Below are 15,882 nucleotides of genomic sequence, written 5' to 3' on the forward strand. Positions count from 1 at the left end.
TGCCTGTAATTCCAGCACTTTGGGAGGCCAAGGCAGGCAGATCACTTGAGGTCAGGAGTTCAAGACCAGCCTGGCCAACATGGTGAAACCTCATCTCTACTAAAAATACTAAAATTGGCTGGACATGGTGGCAGGTGCCTGTAATCTCAGCTATTTGGGAGGCTGAGGCAGTATAATCACTTGAACCCGGGAGGCAGAGGTTGCAGTGAGCCAAGATTGCGCCATTGCACTCCAGCCTGGGTGACAGAGCAAGACTCTGTCTCAAAAAAATAAAAAAATAAAATAAAAATAGTACTATAGGAAAGAACAAAAAACTATAAAAGTTATCTAAAACAATGATAGAAAGTAGATTTTAAAAACGAATAAATAGAACTTATTGAAATGAAAAATATAATCATTAAAAACGTAGCAGGTTTATTACATCCGAAGAGAGAATTAATGAATAGGAAGGTAGACCTGCAGAAATTACCTAGAAAGCACCCGAGAGAGGTAAGAAGATGGGAAATATAAGAGATTCAAAGACACGGAGGAACTTCATGGAGAAAATCGGGGAGGGGCAATATTTGTAGAGATATTGGCTGAAAAAGTCTCAGAACTGATGACAAAGACATGAAACTTCAGACAAGGAACCACAGTGACTCCCAGGATAAAGAAAACTAAATCCTTGGTCCTTTACGATGAAACTTTATTGGAGGACATGTAAGAAGACCTGAAGACAATGGAAAGCTCTAGTTTGCTCATGAGTGGGCAAGGTCAACATTGTAGAGATGTCAGTTTTCCTCAGGTTAATTTATAAATTCAGAGCAATGCCAGTCAGAATCTTTCTTCCGGGATTTTGAGAAGCTGACTTAAAATTTTAAATGGAAGAGTAAAGGAGCATGAATAACTAAGATAAATTTGAAAGCAACTGACTTTCCACTTGGAAAAATAAAATAAAATTAGTTTTCTCTCATCACTCAATATATACAAAATAAAACACCAGATCTATCTGGAAGAACAAAATTGTGAAATAAATTTTAAAAATATAGAAGAGGCTAGGCGTAGCGGTTCGTGCCTGTAATCCCAGCACTTTGGGAGGCCAAGGTGGGAGGATTGCTTGAGCCCAGAAGTTTGAGACCAGCCAGAGAAACCTAGTGAGACCCTGTCTCTACAAAAACTAAAAAATGAGCTGAGCACCATGGCACACACCTATAGTTCCAGCTATTTAGCAGGCTGAGGCAGAAGGATCCCTTAAGCCCAGGAGTTCAAGGCTGCAATGAGCTGTGATCATGCCACTGCACTCCCACCTAGGTGACAGAGTGAGACCCTGTCTCACACATATATATTTATAGTGTTTGCTTTGTAAGTGTCCTCAGTTGAGAAGCAAAATCTATAAATTTGACCACTTGAAGACTTTAAAATTTTGCATAAAAAAGGTACTATATGTATGATTAAAAAAATAAAGCAACAGATTGAGAAGATATTTTCCCTAAGTAACAAAAGTAGAGTGTAGACATTACTTGCTCATGCTCAGAAGTGAAACATCCTGGGTTGGAGTCCTGGCCACCTCCCAGCTGTGTGATCTTGGGTAAGTTACAGTGTCTCTCTGTGCACCATTTCCCCATCTTTAAAATGGAGTGGGGATTAGCCGGGTGCGGTGGCTCACACCTGTAATCTCAGCACTTTGGGAGGCCAAGGCGGGTGGATCACAAGGTCAGGAATTTGAGACCAGCCTGGCCAACATGGTGAAACTCCGTCTCTAATAAAGATACAAAAAATTAGCTGGGTGTGGTGGCATGCGCCTGTAATCCCAGCTACTTGGGAGGCCGAGGCAGGAGAATCGTTTGAACCCGGGAGGCAGAGGTTGCAGTGTGCTGAGATCACACCATTGCACTCCAGCCTGGGTGACAGGGCGAGACTCCATCTCAAAAATAAATAAATAAAAATAAAGTGAGGATTGTAATAGTACCTCTAAACACAGTCAGGACAGTGCCTGGCACATAGGAACTCATTAATAAAAGTTAGTTGCTATTTAAATAACACTGGCCACATGCAGTGTTTCACCTCTGTCATCTCAGCACTTGGGGAGGCCGAGGTGGGTGGATCACTTGACGCCAGGAGTTTGAGACCAGCCTGGCCAATATGGTGAAACCCTGTCTCTACTAAAAATACAAAGATTAGCTGCGCGTGGTGGCAGACACCTGTAATCCCAGCTACTTGGGAAGCTGAGGCAGGAGAATGGCTTGAACCCAGGAGGTGGAGGTTGCAGTGAGCCAATTTCACACCACTGCACTCCAGCCTGGGCGTCAGAGCAAGACTCTACCTCAAAAAATAAAGAAATAAATAACACCCACAAATACTTAAGAAAACGGCAAATAGCCAAATAGTGTTTATCAGACTCCTAAGTAGACAGCTCAATTAGCAACCTTCAGCTCCATCTGTGGGCCAAGCGGCGTGCTCTTAACTCAAGAAGTGTCCGGCAGGTCTGATTCTGACTGGAGGGATGTTCTGCTCCATGAGGGCCCACAGGGAAAACTGTGGGTTCAACACTAATCTCTCAAGAGGATGTTAGATCCCAAAGCTGCAGCGGTGTTTTTTGTTTGTTTGTTTTTTGAGACGGAGTTTCGCTCTTGTTGCCCAGGCTGGAGTGCGATGGTGCGATCTTAGCTCACGGCAACCTCCGCTTCCCAGGCTCAAGCAATTCTCCGGCCTCAGCCTCCCGAGTAGGGGGGTTACAGGCACCCACCACCATGCCCGGCTAATTTTTGTATTTTTAGTAGAGACGGAGTTTCACCATGTTGGCCAGGCTGGTCTCCAACTCCTGACCTCAGGTGATCCGCCCGCCTCTGCCACCCAAAGTGTTGGGATTACAGACGTGAGCCACTGCGCCCAGCTGTGTGTTTTTATTCTCAGATTCTTTTCTTGAAATACTGGAGGAGGAGTCAGAGTCTGGGTTACTCTGGGCTCACTAGATCTGTGACCTCACTCAGCCCCACGTGCTCCTCATCCCTAGACGGGTTGGACAAGGGGACCTCTAAAATTCTCTTTCTAACTAGGTCTTCCATAATGTCCATGGAATTTATACGGGGGAGCGTGACATCTTAAGGACACTTTTTTGAAATAAAATATGGCATTTCTAATGTTTCTAGAAATAGGGGCAAAGATACAGCCCTGACCCCTTTGTTCACGAGGCTGGTGTCACAAGAGAGATGTCCTAGATGACACTGTGGGGCAAAAGGGCAGTATGAGCAGAAGCAAGTCCTGGGTCTCCACAAGCACACACGGCTCCTTCCGGGTCTGCCCGAGGGCCTGTAGATCCCTGGCCACCCCTGCTTCTAACCCCTGAGACCCTGCCTAGGTCCCCAAACACTGTCAATGTCTGATCTTCTTTTCTGACCCCATTAGAAAATAAAAATGACCGGCCAGGCGCAGTGGCTCACGCCTGTAATCCCAGCACTCTGGGGGGCTGAGGCGGGTGGGTCACCTGAGGTCAGGAGTTTGAGACCAGCTTGACCAACATGGTGAAACTCCGTCTCTACTAGAAATACATTAGCTGGGTATGGTGGTATACATCTGTGATCCCAGGATCAGGAGGCTGAGGCAGGAGAATCGCTTGAACCTGGGAGGCGGAGGTTGCGGTGAGCCAAGATCGCGCCACTGCATTCCAGCCTGGCTGACAGAGCAAGACTCCATCTCAAAAATTAAAAAAAAAAAAAAAAAAAAAAAGAAAGAAAAAAGAAAAATGACCACAGTGGTTATTATCTTAGTCTCATGGTAAGGATTTCAGTTGTAGGCCTGTATTTTAGCTCTGATGGGGGTCTATGAGTTTCAGGGAATTAAAAATTCACCTTCCCTTACCTGCCAAATTTATTCACCAAGGGGCCGACCAGGAGGGATCCGATAAACCCTCCAAATGGAAACATGGACACGGTTACAGACCACAGCAACGTCAAGGGGAAGTCTTCCATGAATTCACCGGTCCTACCATAGTAAGTCTCATTGTAAAATTGTTGCATGAGCTAGGAGACAAAGCAAAACAGAACACCAAAATAATTTGATCCGGTTTTGCAAGAAGAACATTAGCTGTTAGGACACCCAATGAAATAACCTGGGCACACAGAGACCAACCTTATTAACCGGGGGGTGATGGGAGGCAGGACAGAGCTTCAGGAGCAGTGAGAAGGGTGGGCACCCACCGGGAGGGCTGGGAAGCCTCTCAGCAGCAAACCACCCTGGGTGTTTCTCAGCCAGAAAGGGATGACTCCAATTTTCCAATCAGCTGGGAGACCCCTGGCCCCCCCGGATTCCCTCTAAACAGCAAGGCCACAGAAGATCTGAGCCCCCTCCTAGAGCCCGGCCCACTGTGTGTCCATCCAGACCTGGCCCATCCCAAGAGACCTGTGTCTGCGAGTTCCCTCGGGTCTGTGCTGTGTCCGGAGGGTGTTTCCCTCTCCCTTTGCTTCAGGACCCACTGCGTGAACAGCCCCACGCTGGCCAGTCCCACCCAGGCAATGGGCTGCTCCAAACGTCCTCCCCACATCTTGCTCACCACAGTGACCTACCAGTGCTGGGGAGTTGACAGCAGCCACGTTGTACCCATACTGGAAGGATGACCCAAAGGCAGCTATCAGGGTTGCCAGGGCAAGCACAAGCGTCAGCCTCTGCAGAGATCACAGCTTAGGTCAGGAAGCAGCCCCAGGGTTCCAGGGCCCTCCCGCTTTACTTCGGTTTCGTAGAAAGATGTAACAGAATCTGAAGATCCATAGTCTTGAGACTACTCCATTCCTTGAAACCTACCCTCAACCCACCTTGGGTTACAGGCTTTCTCAACCATGGCACTTTTGACACTTGGGGTCTGATAATTCTTTGTTATGGGGGCTGTCCTGAGCACAGCAGGATGTTTACAGCATCCTGTGAACATGGTGCCAGTAGCACCCCTCTCCCCAGCTGCGACAACCCAAATGTCTTCCAACATTGTTAAGTGTCCCCTGGTGGGGAAGTGCTCCATTTGAGAACCACTGGATCAGAGAGAAGCTGAAACCTACTTCTCTAACACTGCAGCTACTGCAGCTGTTTGAATTGCTCCTGTGACATTCCTGCCACGTGGGGCATTTGCCAACTGCAGCAAATGTGCTCTTGCACCATCTCAAACATAAACTCCCAGAAAATCAAAGAGAAAAAGAGAAAATTTTAGCTATTTTGGCCACTGAAAATTTCCTTTCAGACAATCTTTAATGACAAGAGGAAATTCATTAGTAATGAAGAGCAGGAGACAGACATGGAAAGAGCTGCGGGCTTAAAATCTACAGGCCTCAGTTTTGAATCTACCTGTTGCCACTTTTCAGCTTAATTTCTAGGATCTTCAGTTTCTTCATCTCTGAAATGAGGACAATCACACTCCCTACCAGAGTGTTTGCCAGGATTAATTACGACCATGTCTAGCTGCAGAGGTGAATCTGCTGTTGGAGAGAGCTTGGGACGCTGCTCTCTGACTTGCCATCAAAGGACCTTCTTCCATCTACTCTGATGGACAGCCGCCTTTCTTTCTTTTTTTTTTTTTTTTTTTTTTTTGACACAGAGTCTTGCTCTGTCACCCAGGCTGGAGTGCAGTGGCGCAATCTCGGCTCACTGCAAGCTCCGCCTCCTGGGTTCACGCCATTCTCCTGCCTTAGCCTCCCAAATAGCTGGGACTACAGGCACCCGCCACCACGCCTGGCTAATTTTTTGTATTTTTTAGTAGAGACGGGGTTTCACTGTGTTAGCCAGGATGGTCTCAATCTCCTGACCTCGTGATCTGCCTGCCTTGGCCTCCCAAAGTACTGGGATTACAGGCGTGAGCCACCACGCCTGGCCAGAGAGCCCCCTTTCACAGGTAACACAGGTTCATGCTTGGCCCTCCAGTGACAAGACAAGCACTATCCCACGGTATCTAAATCTACAGAGAATCTTTTTTTTTTTTTTTTTTCTGAGACATTTCTTGCCCTGGCTGGAGTGCTGTGGTGCTATTATAGCTCACTGTGACCTCAACCTCCTGGGCTCAAGTGATCCTCCCACCTCAGCCTCCCGAGTAGCTGAGACTACAGGTGCATGCCATCATGCCTGGCTAATTAAAAAATATATTTTTATAGAGACAGGGGTCTCATTATATTGTCCAAGCTGGTCTCAAACTCCTGGGCTCAAGCGATCCTCCTGCCTCAGCCTCCCAAAGTGCTGGGATTGTAGGCATGAGCCACTGTGCCCGGCCTAAAGAGGATGTCTTGAGAGAGGTAAGTGAGGAGCCAGAAAGGGAGAGAAACAATGATCATTCCTGCCTTGTCATGGGGCCCCAGATGGGGTGGAGTGAACCTCTGAAGAGCAGCACCTGCAAGGAGCCCTGGTGAAGAGCAAAAACATACTACACACACACACACACACACACACACACTACACACACACACTACACACATACAGTACACACACACCACACACACACAATACACACACTACACACACACACTACACACACAACACACACAATACACACACACTATACACACACACAACACACACACTACATACACACTACACACACTACACACTACATACACAATACACACACTACACACACACTACACACACGCCCCTCATGTAACAAACAATACACACACACCCCCCATGTACACACACTACACACACACTCCCCACATGTACACAAACACTACACACACACACGCCCCCCCACATGTACACACACTACATACACACAAGCACACACGCCCCCCAAATGTACACACACTACATACACACACGCACACATGCCCCCTACATGTACACACACTACACACCCCACACCCCCACATGCCTCCAGTACACACACACACCTCCCACACACACCCCACACATACACACCCATACCCCACCCCCCCACATATGCACACATACATACACCACACACACATCATACACACACCACACACATACCCCACACACACACCACACACATACACACCCACCCCCCACACACATAGGCAGAAATACACACACCACACACACCACACATACACACATACAGCCCACACACCCCCCACACACACACACCCCACACACACACCACATACACACAGCCCACCCCACACACACACAGCCCACCCCCCACACACACATATGCACACACAATAGGCTTGGCTCACCTCCCATCTGATTCGCTCTGTGTATTCATTCATTCACTCGTCTATTCAGCCATTCAATCATTCAACATATTGGGCGCCCAATGTGAACAAGCATTGCTCTAAGTGTTGGGGATATAGCGGTGAACAAACAAGACAGACAAAAATCCCTCCCCTATAGCTGTTCTACTGCTTGATTTTGTTACAGACAAAGAGAGAGGGGTGGGGGTGAGGGGAAGGGAAGAAAATGTTGATTAAAAAATTCTCTTCTGGGCACGACGGCTCATGCCTATAAATCCCAGCACTTTGGGAGGTTGAGATGGGTAGACTGCTTGAGCCCAGGAGTTCTCAGCCAGCCCGGGCAACATGGTGAAACCTCGTCTCTACTAAAAATTCAAAAATTTGCTGGGCATGATGTGCACCTGTAATCCCAACTACTCAGGAGGCTGAGGTGGAAGGATCACTTGAGCACGGGACGCAGAGGTTGCAGTAAGCTGAGATCGCACCACTGCACTCCAGCCTGGGTGACAGTGCAAGACCCTGTCTCAAAAAAAAAAAAAAGAAAAAAGAAAAAATCCCTTCTATCTGAGTGTGATGGCAAACACTTGAATCCCAGCACTTCGAGAAGCTAAGTAAGGTAGGAGGATCACTTGAGCCCTGGAGTTTGAGACCAGATTGGGCAACATAGGGAAATCCTGTCTCTACCAAAAAAATTTTAAAAATTAGCTGGGTGTGGTGGCACACGCCTGTGGTCCCAGCTACTCACGAGGCTGAGGTGGGAGGATCACTTGAGCCCAGGAATTCAAGGTTGCAGTGAGCTATGGTTGCACCACTGCACTCCAGCCTGGGCCACAAAATGAGACCCTGTCTCAAAAAAAAAAAAAATTCTTTTCTAATTCTCTTCTCAGTAAGACGAAAGTGCAACCAGCTTCATTCACACAGCCAAGTGCAGCTCTTGACCACTCCCTCAGTCTGATGAGTGCCCTAAGGTTTGAAGTCCTTTGGGGTCAGGGGTGGGGTTCTGGCCAGCAGCACAGCCAACAAGCACAGCCCAGCTGGTGGAGCTGGCTGGTTCCCAGGGCTCATGCCCCAGAGTTGGGGGTTCTGCCAGGCACCATGGAGAGCCAGCTCCCTGACCGCTTTGATGGGATCCCAGCAAAAATGATCAGAGAGACTATGGAGGAGAGATCAGAGCGACTAAATGATCAGGCTATAGAGTCTCTGAGCATAGAGCATTCAATTCACCCTCCATTCTTTCACTGCCTCCCTGAATTCAAGCCACAGGCACATTCTGTGGGCGCAGTAGAAATCATGGCTCACTCTCCTGGGAGTAGCAAAGTTATTCTAGGTGGGTTCTCGCTAACCCTGCCGGTCCAGCCAACTTCATTAAACAAATATGCATGACCAGCTAACTGGACTCCAGGAAGCACAGTACCCTCGGGTAAGCAAGACAGCTGCCCCCAGCAGACTATTGTCAATGGTAAAGACACACATTAAGAAACTACATGAGAATGTAATAAACTGTAACTGTAGTAAGTACTAAGAAGAAAAACACAGGAGTGGTTAAAAAGAGAGGTCTGGGGAGCAATATTTCAGCTGAGGAGAGGAAGGAGAAGAGAGTGATTCAGAGAGAGGGAACAGCATGTGGGAAGGCCTGAGGCAGGCGGAGCTCAGAACCTTTGAGCATCTGGAATTTGGCCAGTGTGGCTGGAGCGTGGGGAAAGGAGGGCAAACCGGGGTGAGGGCCACAGAAAAGACTGGGTATTCACTCCATATTCACTCCATCTGTTCCCTCCATGTGCTCTGTAGCCAAGGAGTGGGATGGAAGGATTTGAACTTTAAAAAAATTACTCCAGGCTGGGCACAGTGGCTCACACCTGTAATCCCAGCAGTTTGGGAGGCCAAGGCGGGAGGATCACTTGAGACCAGGAGTTTGAGACCAGCTTGAGCAACATGGTGAAACCCCATCTGTACTAAAAATACAAAAATAAGCCAGGCGTGGTGGCATATGCCTGTAGTCCCAGCTAGTAGGGAGGCTAAGGCAGGAGAATCGCTTGAACCTGGGAGATGGAGGTTGCAGTGAGCCGAGATCACGCCATTGCACTCCAGTCTGGGAAACAGAGCAAGACTCTGTCTCAAAAAATAAATAAATAAATAAATAAATTACTCCAGCTACTACGTGCAGAGCAGAAGGGAGACCAGGTTACTGCAGAGGCCAACAGACAGCAGATGGGCACTTGGGTAATGGAACGGGCCACGGTAGGGGTTAAAAGTACCAGCTTTGAGGACTACTGAGGATGCAAATTAAAAAGACTTGCTATCCCATGAGGCAAATGCAAATAAAAATCAGCATGAGACACCACTTCTCACCCTGTGAGTTCGACTTAGAGAGTTCAACTTTTTCAGATTCCACATGTGAGATCATGCAGTGTTTGTCTTCCCGTGCCTGGCTTATTTCACTTTGGTGATAAATTGTATACTTTTATATATTAATATGTACTTTGTGTGTGTGTGTGTAGAGACAGAGTCTCACTTTGTTGCCCAGGCTGGTCTCAATCCTCCTGCCTCAGCCTCCCAAAGTGCTGGTATTACAGGTGTGAGCTGCCATGCCCAGCCTGTATACTTTATTTATTTAAATTTTTTTTGTTGTTGTTTTGAGACAGAGTCTCGCTCTGTCGCCCAGGCTGGAGTGCAGTGGCACAATCTCAGCTCACTGTAGCCTCCACCTCCTCGGTTCAAGCAATTCTCCTGCCTCAGCCTCCCGGATAGCTGGGATTACAGGTGCATGCCACCACGCCTGGCTAATTTTTGTATTTTTAGTAGAGACGGGGTTTCACCATGTTGGCCAGGCTGGTCTCAAACTCCTGACCTCAAGTGATCCACCTGCCTTGGGCTCCTAGAGTGCTGGGATTACAGGTGTGAGCCAACACATCAGGCTATTATTTACTTTTTTTTTTTTTTTTTTTTTTTTTTTTTTTGAGACGGAGTCTTCGCTCTGTCGCCCAGGCTGGAGTGCAGTGGCGCGATCTCGGCTCACTGCAAGCTCCGCCTCCCGGGTTCACGCCATTCTCCTGCCTCAGCCTCCCGAGTAGCTGGGACTACAGGCGCCCGCTACCACGCCCGGCTAATTTTTTGTATTTTTAGTAGAGACGGGGTTTCACCGTGTTAGCCAGGATGGTCTCGATCTCCTGACCTCGTGATCCGCCCGCCTCGGCCTCCCAAAGTGCTGGGATTACAGGCGTGAGCCACCGCGCCCGGCCTATTTACATTTTTTATAGAGACAGGGTCTTGCTATGTTGCCCAAGCTAGTCTTGAACTCCTGGTCTCAAGCAATCCTCTCGCCTCAGCCTCCCAAAGTGTTGGTTTTATAAGTGTGAGCCACAGTGCCAGCCTGGGCCTGTGTACTTTAGAGGGGTGAAATTGTATGGTATTGAGATATATTCTCAATAAAGATGCAGTACTACATTTTAAAAGGCACATAGTAGAAAGAAGGCTTAAGCCCTCTTTCTTTCTTTTTTTGCTTTCCAGGAGGGAGAACAAAAAGAATTTGGTACTGGGCTGGATTAGGGCATAAGGAAAAGGGAGGGGCTGAAGAGGATGTGCGGGTCTCTGGCCAGCTTGTTAAAATGAGAAGCCCCAGTGACCCCCAGCCGTGACCGGGAGGGTCTCTCCTTAGAGGCTAAGGAGGTTGCCAAGACGCTGAGCTGTGCTTCAGGGAAAACCAGAAACCACATTCCTCATGCTGTCAGTAAACCAGCTTCCTCCCTTTCATAATACAGAGAACATTTTGAGACTTTAGTAATAACGACCACCCCAAGAAAGAAAAGAAACTTTTTGGGGGATGTGTACCCCTTTAAATGACCGGGCCAGCAAAGCACTGAAATACAGCAGCAGTCACATCTTATTCCCACGTGAGCTAAGTCATCTGCCTGCTATGTGGACTCTACACTGAGTGTTGCCACCAAGTAGCAGTAAATTAGCCTAACAATGCCATACACCGGACACCACAGCGCATACTCTACAGTCAACAATGTAGGCCAGGCGCGGTGGCTCACACCTGTAATCCCAGCACTTTGGTGGGAGGCCGAGGTGGGCAGATCACGAGGTCAGGAGTTCAAGACCAGCCTGGACAACATGGTGAAACCCCGTCTCTACTAAAAATACAAAAGTTAGCCGGGCATGGTGGCACACGTCTGTAATCCCAGCTACTCGGGAGGCTGAGGCAGGAGAATTGCTTGAACCCGGGAGGTGGAGGTTGCAGTGAGCTGAAATTACACCATTGCACTCCAGGATGGGCAACAAGAGCAAGATTCTGTCTCAAAAAAAAAAAAAAAAAATGTATAGCCTATCACTAAATCAATGTCATTTCTCTAAACCAGTGAGAATTCCTAACAAACACCGTTTGTAATCACTCCTCTCCTGATTTGTCCTTTTTTCTTTAAAAACTTGAACTTCTCCTATGCTCTCCAAAGTACTTCCCAGTGTTTCCCAGGGCTACAGTCCTCAACCTTGGCCCCAGTACACTCTCTACATTCATTTTGCTACAGTTTCTTTTTTTAGGTTGACAATCCTCAAGGCTGACCTTCTGACAGGGTACGATTCAAGGTCACTGGGAAGGAAGCCCAAACCATCTCCCTTAGAAATCCATCCTGAAGTTTCTGTTGTCAGAGAGACATTCTCTCAGTTCAAAGCTTTTCCTTGTTAGGAATCTGCAGTCAGAATGCAAACACCCCGGAGTAGTTAGCGCTCATGGAGGATCAGTACTTCAAGCTATGTCACTTTATCACACTGTTGAACTCAGTTTCACAAACAGGTAGTGGGAGGGGCAGGGAGAGATGAGCATCGTCAGCCGCTGCGGTGGTTTGGAGCACAGTTTCTGGAGCCCAGGAGTGTGGGCTCGAAGCCTGGCTCTGCTGGGCTGTGTGGCCTTGGGCAACTCCCTGAGCTTCTCAGTTCCTTCACCTTTAGAATGGGGATAATGGGCCTGGCCTGGTGGTCCATGCCTATAATCCCAGCACTTTGGGAGGCCGAGGCAGGAGGATGGCTTGAGCCCAGGAGTTTGAGACCAGCCTGGGCAACATAGTGAGACCTCGTCTCTACGAAAAAATTTAAAAACAAGGCAGGAGTATCTCTTGAGCCCAGGAGGCTGCAATGAGCCGTGATTGTGCCACTGTACTCCTGCCTGGGTGATAGAGCCAGACCCTGCCTCAAAAAAAAAATTTTTTTTTGAGGATAATGATACCACCACAGGAATAAATGAGTTCACTGGTATAGAACACTTAGGACCATGCCTGGTCTGTAGTAGGTGTTACAAATGGGTTAATTAATCCATTAATTACAAATGAATATCAGTGAGGACCCGGAGAGCACAGAGGGGTGTCAGTTGCTCTAGGATACTCAACTAGTTGCTGGTGGAGCCACTCCACAAAAATGTGTCTTTATTTTCCAAAGCACTTCGGCATCTTTTTATTGAGGTGGGGAACTTTATTCAACAATCCTTTGTTTTTTTTTTGAGACAGAATCTCACTCTGGCTGGAGTCACGCAGGCTGGAGCGCAGTGGCACTATCTCTGCTCACTGCAAACTCTACCTCCCAGGCTCAGGCGATCCTCCCACCTCAGCCTCTAGAGCAGCTGGGACTATAGGCACGGTCCCCATGCCCAGCTAATTTTTGTACACTTTGTAGAGACCAAGTTTCGCCATGTTGCCCAGGCTGGTCCCAAACTTGTGGGCTCAAGCAATCCGCTTGCCTCGGCCTCCCAAACTGATGGGATTATAGGCCAGAGCCACTGCACCTGGCCCTCAATTCTTATGTAGTTGTAAAATACCTTGTTGTACCTTTTTCTTTTCCTAATCCATTTTATTTTTTTTTCTTTCAGACCAACAGTCTTTTCTTCCTGGCAGAAAGTCCTTGGTGCACATCTGATAGATGTCAGTGTTTGCCCTCTACATAGGAGAAAAGCAGGGCTGAGTGCAGTGGCTCAGGCCTACAATCCAAGCACTTTGGGAGGCTGAGGCAGAAGGCACACTTGAGCCCAGTAGCCCAAGACCAGCCTGGGTATAGTGAGACCCCGTCTCTTCAAAATATTTAAAAATTAGCCAAGGGTGGTGCTACATGCCTGTAGTCCCAGCTACTCGGGAGGCTGAGGTGGGAGGATTGCTGGAGCCCCGGACTTCAAGGCCGCGGTGAGCTATGATCCCACCATTGCACTCTGGCCTGGCCAACAGAGTAAGACCCTGTCTCAAAATTAAAAAAAAAAAAAAAGGAAAAAGAAAGAAAAAGAAGAGAAAAGGCCAGTGAGGCCACTGCCACACAACCACTGAGGGGCAGGCAGCTGGCTCCATACTGCCAGACGCCCTCCTCCCCGGACCGCGCAGCCTCTGTAGCCTTCGCCTGCCCCCGCATTTCTCCTTGGCTCCTACCTCCCCTCTCGGCTGCACTTAATGATTTCCCGGATTCTTACAGACCATTGGGATCGCTTCCTTCAGAGTGTTTTGGGAAGCCCAGCACGCCCCAGCTTTCTCCCCAAGGGGCAGGCTGCTCTCAGGAGCGGGAAGCCCATCCCCACCTTCATCCCTCTGGCCCAGAGGAGGCTTCCTTCCCTGGAGGGCTGAGGCAGCAGGCAGCTGGGTCAGCCCATGCCTCTCGCATGTGGCCATCTGAATCATTTCCTTTCGCAATGTGTTACTCAGTTTCAGGGCCTGCCACGTGGGGGTGTTTCCATTCCTTTCTGCAGCTGGACTTGGTGGACGTGGGGAACGTGGCAGTTGTGCCTTTCTCTGGACAGCGGAGGACCTCCCTGGACCCCAAACACCTAAGTCCTCATCACCTCCGTTTCTTTTCTATAAAATGGAGGTGATGACACTTGATTTGTCTAACACTTTCTTAGTTGTAAGACAAACAAGATGACCCAAGCGAAGGGGCTGAGTAGACTCCAAAGCAGTGCCTCTCAGTTGAGGGCTGGGAGTGGATTCTGCCCTCTCGGGGACATCGGTTGTCACTCCTGGGGGAGGGAGCTACTGCGTCTAGAAGGTAGAGCCAGGGACGCGGCTAAACATCTTATAACACACAAGACAGCCCCTACAACGAAGCGTTAGCCAGTGCCAAATGGAAATCACGCGGAGGTGGAGAAACCAGCCTAAAGAATGATTGAAAAGTAGTAACATTTACGATGGCCGGGCGCGGTGGCTCACACCTGTAACCCCAGCACTTTGGGAGGCCGAGGCGGGCGGATCACCTGAGGTCAGGAGTTCTAGACCAGCCTGGCCAACATGGTGAAACCCCATCTCTACTAAAAATACAAAAATTAGCCGGGTGTGGTGGTGCATGCCTGTAATCCCAGCTACTTGGGAGGCTGAGGTGGGAGGATCGCTTGAGCCCAGAAGGTGGAGGTTGCAGTGAACCTTGATCGCACCACTGTACTTCAGCCTGGGTGACAGAGCAAGACTCTGTGTCAAAAAAAAAAAAAAAAAAAAGCGAGAGAGAGAGAAAGAAAAGTAGTAACATTTACGGGGAACTCACTCTGTGCCAGGTACTTTACATGCATTATCTCATTTAATTGCTCCAGCACCCTATGAGGCGGTATGGTTATTACTCCCATTTTACAAATGAGAAAACTGAGGCACTGAAGAGTTAAAGAACTTACCCAAGTCCCACAGCTAGAATAGGATGGAGCAGGAATGAATCCTGGGGGCTTCTACTTCCCAGGCCCACTCTTTTTTTTTTTTTTTTTTTGAGATGAAGTTTCGCTCTTGTTGACCAGGCTGGAGTGCAATGGCGTGATCTCAGCTCATTGCAGCCTCTGTTTCCCAGGTTCAAGTGATTCTCCTGCCTCAGCCTCCTGAGTAGCTGGGATTACAGGCACCTGCCACCACGCCTGGCTAATTTTTGTATTTTTAGTAGAGATGGGGTTTCACCATGTTGGCCAGGCTGGTCTCGAACTGCTGACCTCAGGTGATCCACCCACCTCAGCCTCCCAAGACCCACTCTTAATCTATGTGCTACAGAGCATGTTTCCAGTCTGCCTATGGTGAGGGTCTCACATCCATGCCTGAACAAATGCTGTTTTGCAAAAATGTGCACTATCCTTCCTCCACTCCAAATATAAGCAGATGCTATTGTGATGAATAAATGCAAATTCTTATAAAGTGTTAATAAGTCAGTGTTACTTTTCTGACATTATGCATTTTCCTCAATCAAGGGAATCTAGAAAGTAAACTGCAATTACGTTGCAGGAGTCCATGAAAATCTTTCCTCTCTAAAACAAGGGAGCCTCAGGATCTAAAAGGCAGGAAACCTACGTGACAGATCTGAACTAAATTCAAATCAAGCAACGCCTTTTCTGAGTTTATCTTGCTTTCATGCAGCTCAGCTATGTTACTTGCTGAAAAAATTAACTGCCCTGAAGCCAAAAGCAAAACGAAAGCAGAGCGAAACATCTCACCAACCATAGAAGGATTTTGCAGCTAACATGTTTGGTTCAAGTTGGGACAAATGAATCCTTTGGGTCTCTTCCATTCAGTTACAGATCCTGCTGTTAAAGGCTGTTCCAGTAGAATGATTTCCACAGAGCACTTGTCTCTAAACCTCTCTCCTCCCTATAAAAGACCACCTGCTGGACAAGACTTTCCCCCTCTCCCCACCATAATCCCTCCCAACACAGAGTTCCCTCTGCAACACCAGGAGCCCCCCAGCGACTCTCCAGGAAGGCTGCACAGGCCCTGGCAGCCAAGCCTGCTCTTGGCCCCTTTCCCTGAGC

At 48.3% G+C, this 15,882-nt stretch overlaps 1 protein-coding gene across 15 annotated transcripts in view, besides 1 other annotated feature; it reads right to left on the minus strand.

Moving 5' to 3' along the window:
• SLC2A5 (solute carrier family 2 member 5) overlaps positions 1-15,882 on the minus strand; it is a 59,090-nt gene that overhangs the window by 18,505 nt on the left and 24,703 nt on the right. For 13 of the 15 annotated variants that reach the window (XM_047428615.1, XM_047428614.1, XM_047428606.1 and 10 more), the window contains 2 exons: positions 4,542-4,640; positions 3,838-3,998 (listed from right to left, as the gene is read on the minus strand). The exons of 1 other annotated variant lie outside the window; for it this stretch is intronic. In XM_047428615.1, coding sequence (XP_047284571.1) covers positions 3,838-3,998; positions 4,542-4,640 — 260 coding nt within the window. The remainder of the gene's footprint in view (positions 1-3,837; positions 3,999-4,541; positions 4,641-15,882) is intronic. One more of the 15 variants, NM_001328620.2, reaches the window with a different exon arrangement.
• Positions 4,404-4,904: an enhancer, noted in NCBI's record as "H3K4me1 hESC enhancer chr1:9118073-9118573 (GRCh37/hg19 assembly coordinates)". NCBI's record gives its function as "activates a minimal SCP1, AML or CMV promoter by ChIP-STARR-seq in naive H9 embryonic stem cells {active_cell/tissue: H9 hESC(naive)}" and the evidence as "EXISTENCE:reporter gene assay evidence [ECO:0000049][PMID:30033119]".

Source organism: Homo sapiens, chromosome 1, assembly GCF_000001405.40.
Source record: "Homo sapiens chromosome 1, GRCh38.p14 Primary Assembly".
In the NCBI taxonomy this organism is placed as follows: domain Eukaryota; kingdom Metazoa; phylum Chordata; class Mammalia; order Primates; family Hominidae; genus Homo; species Homo sapiens.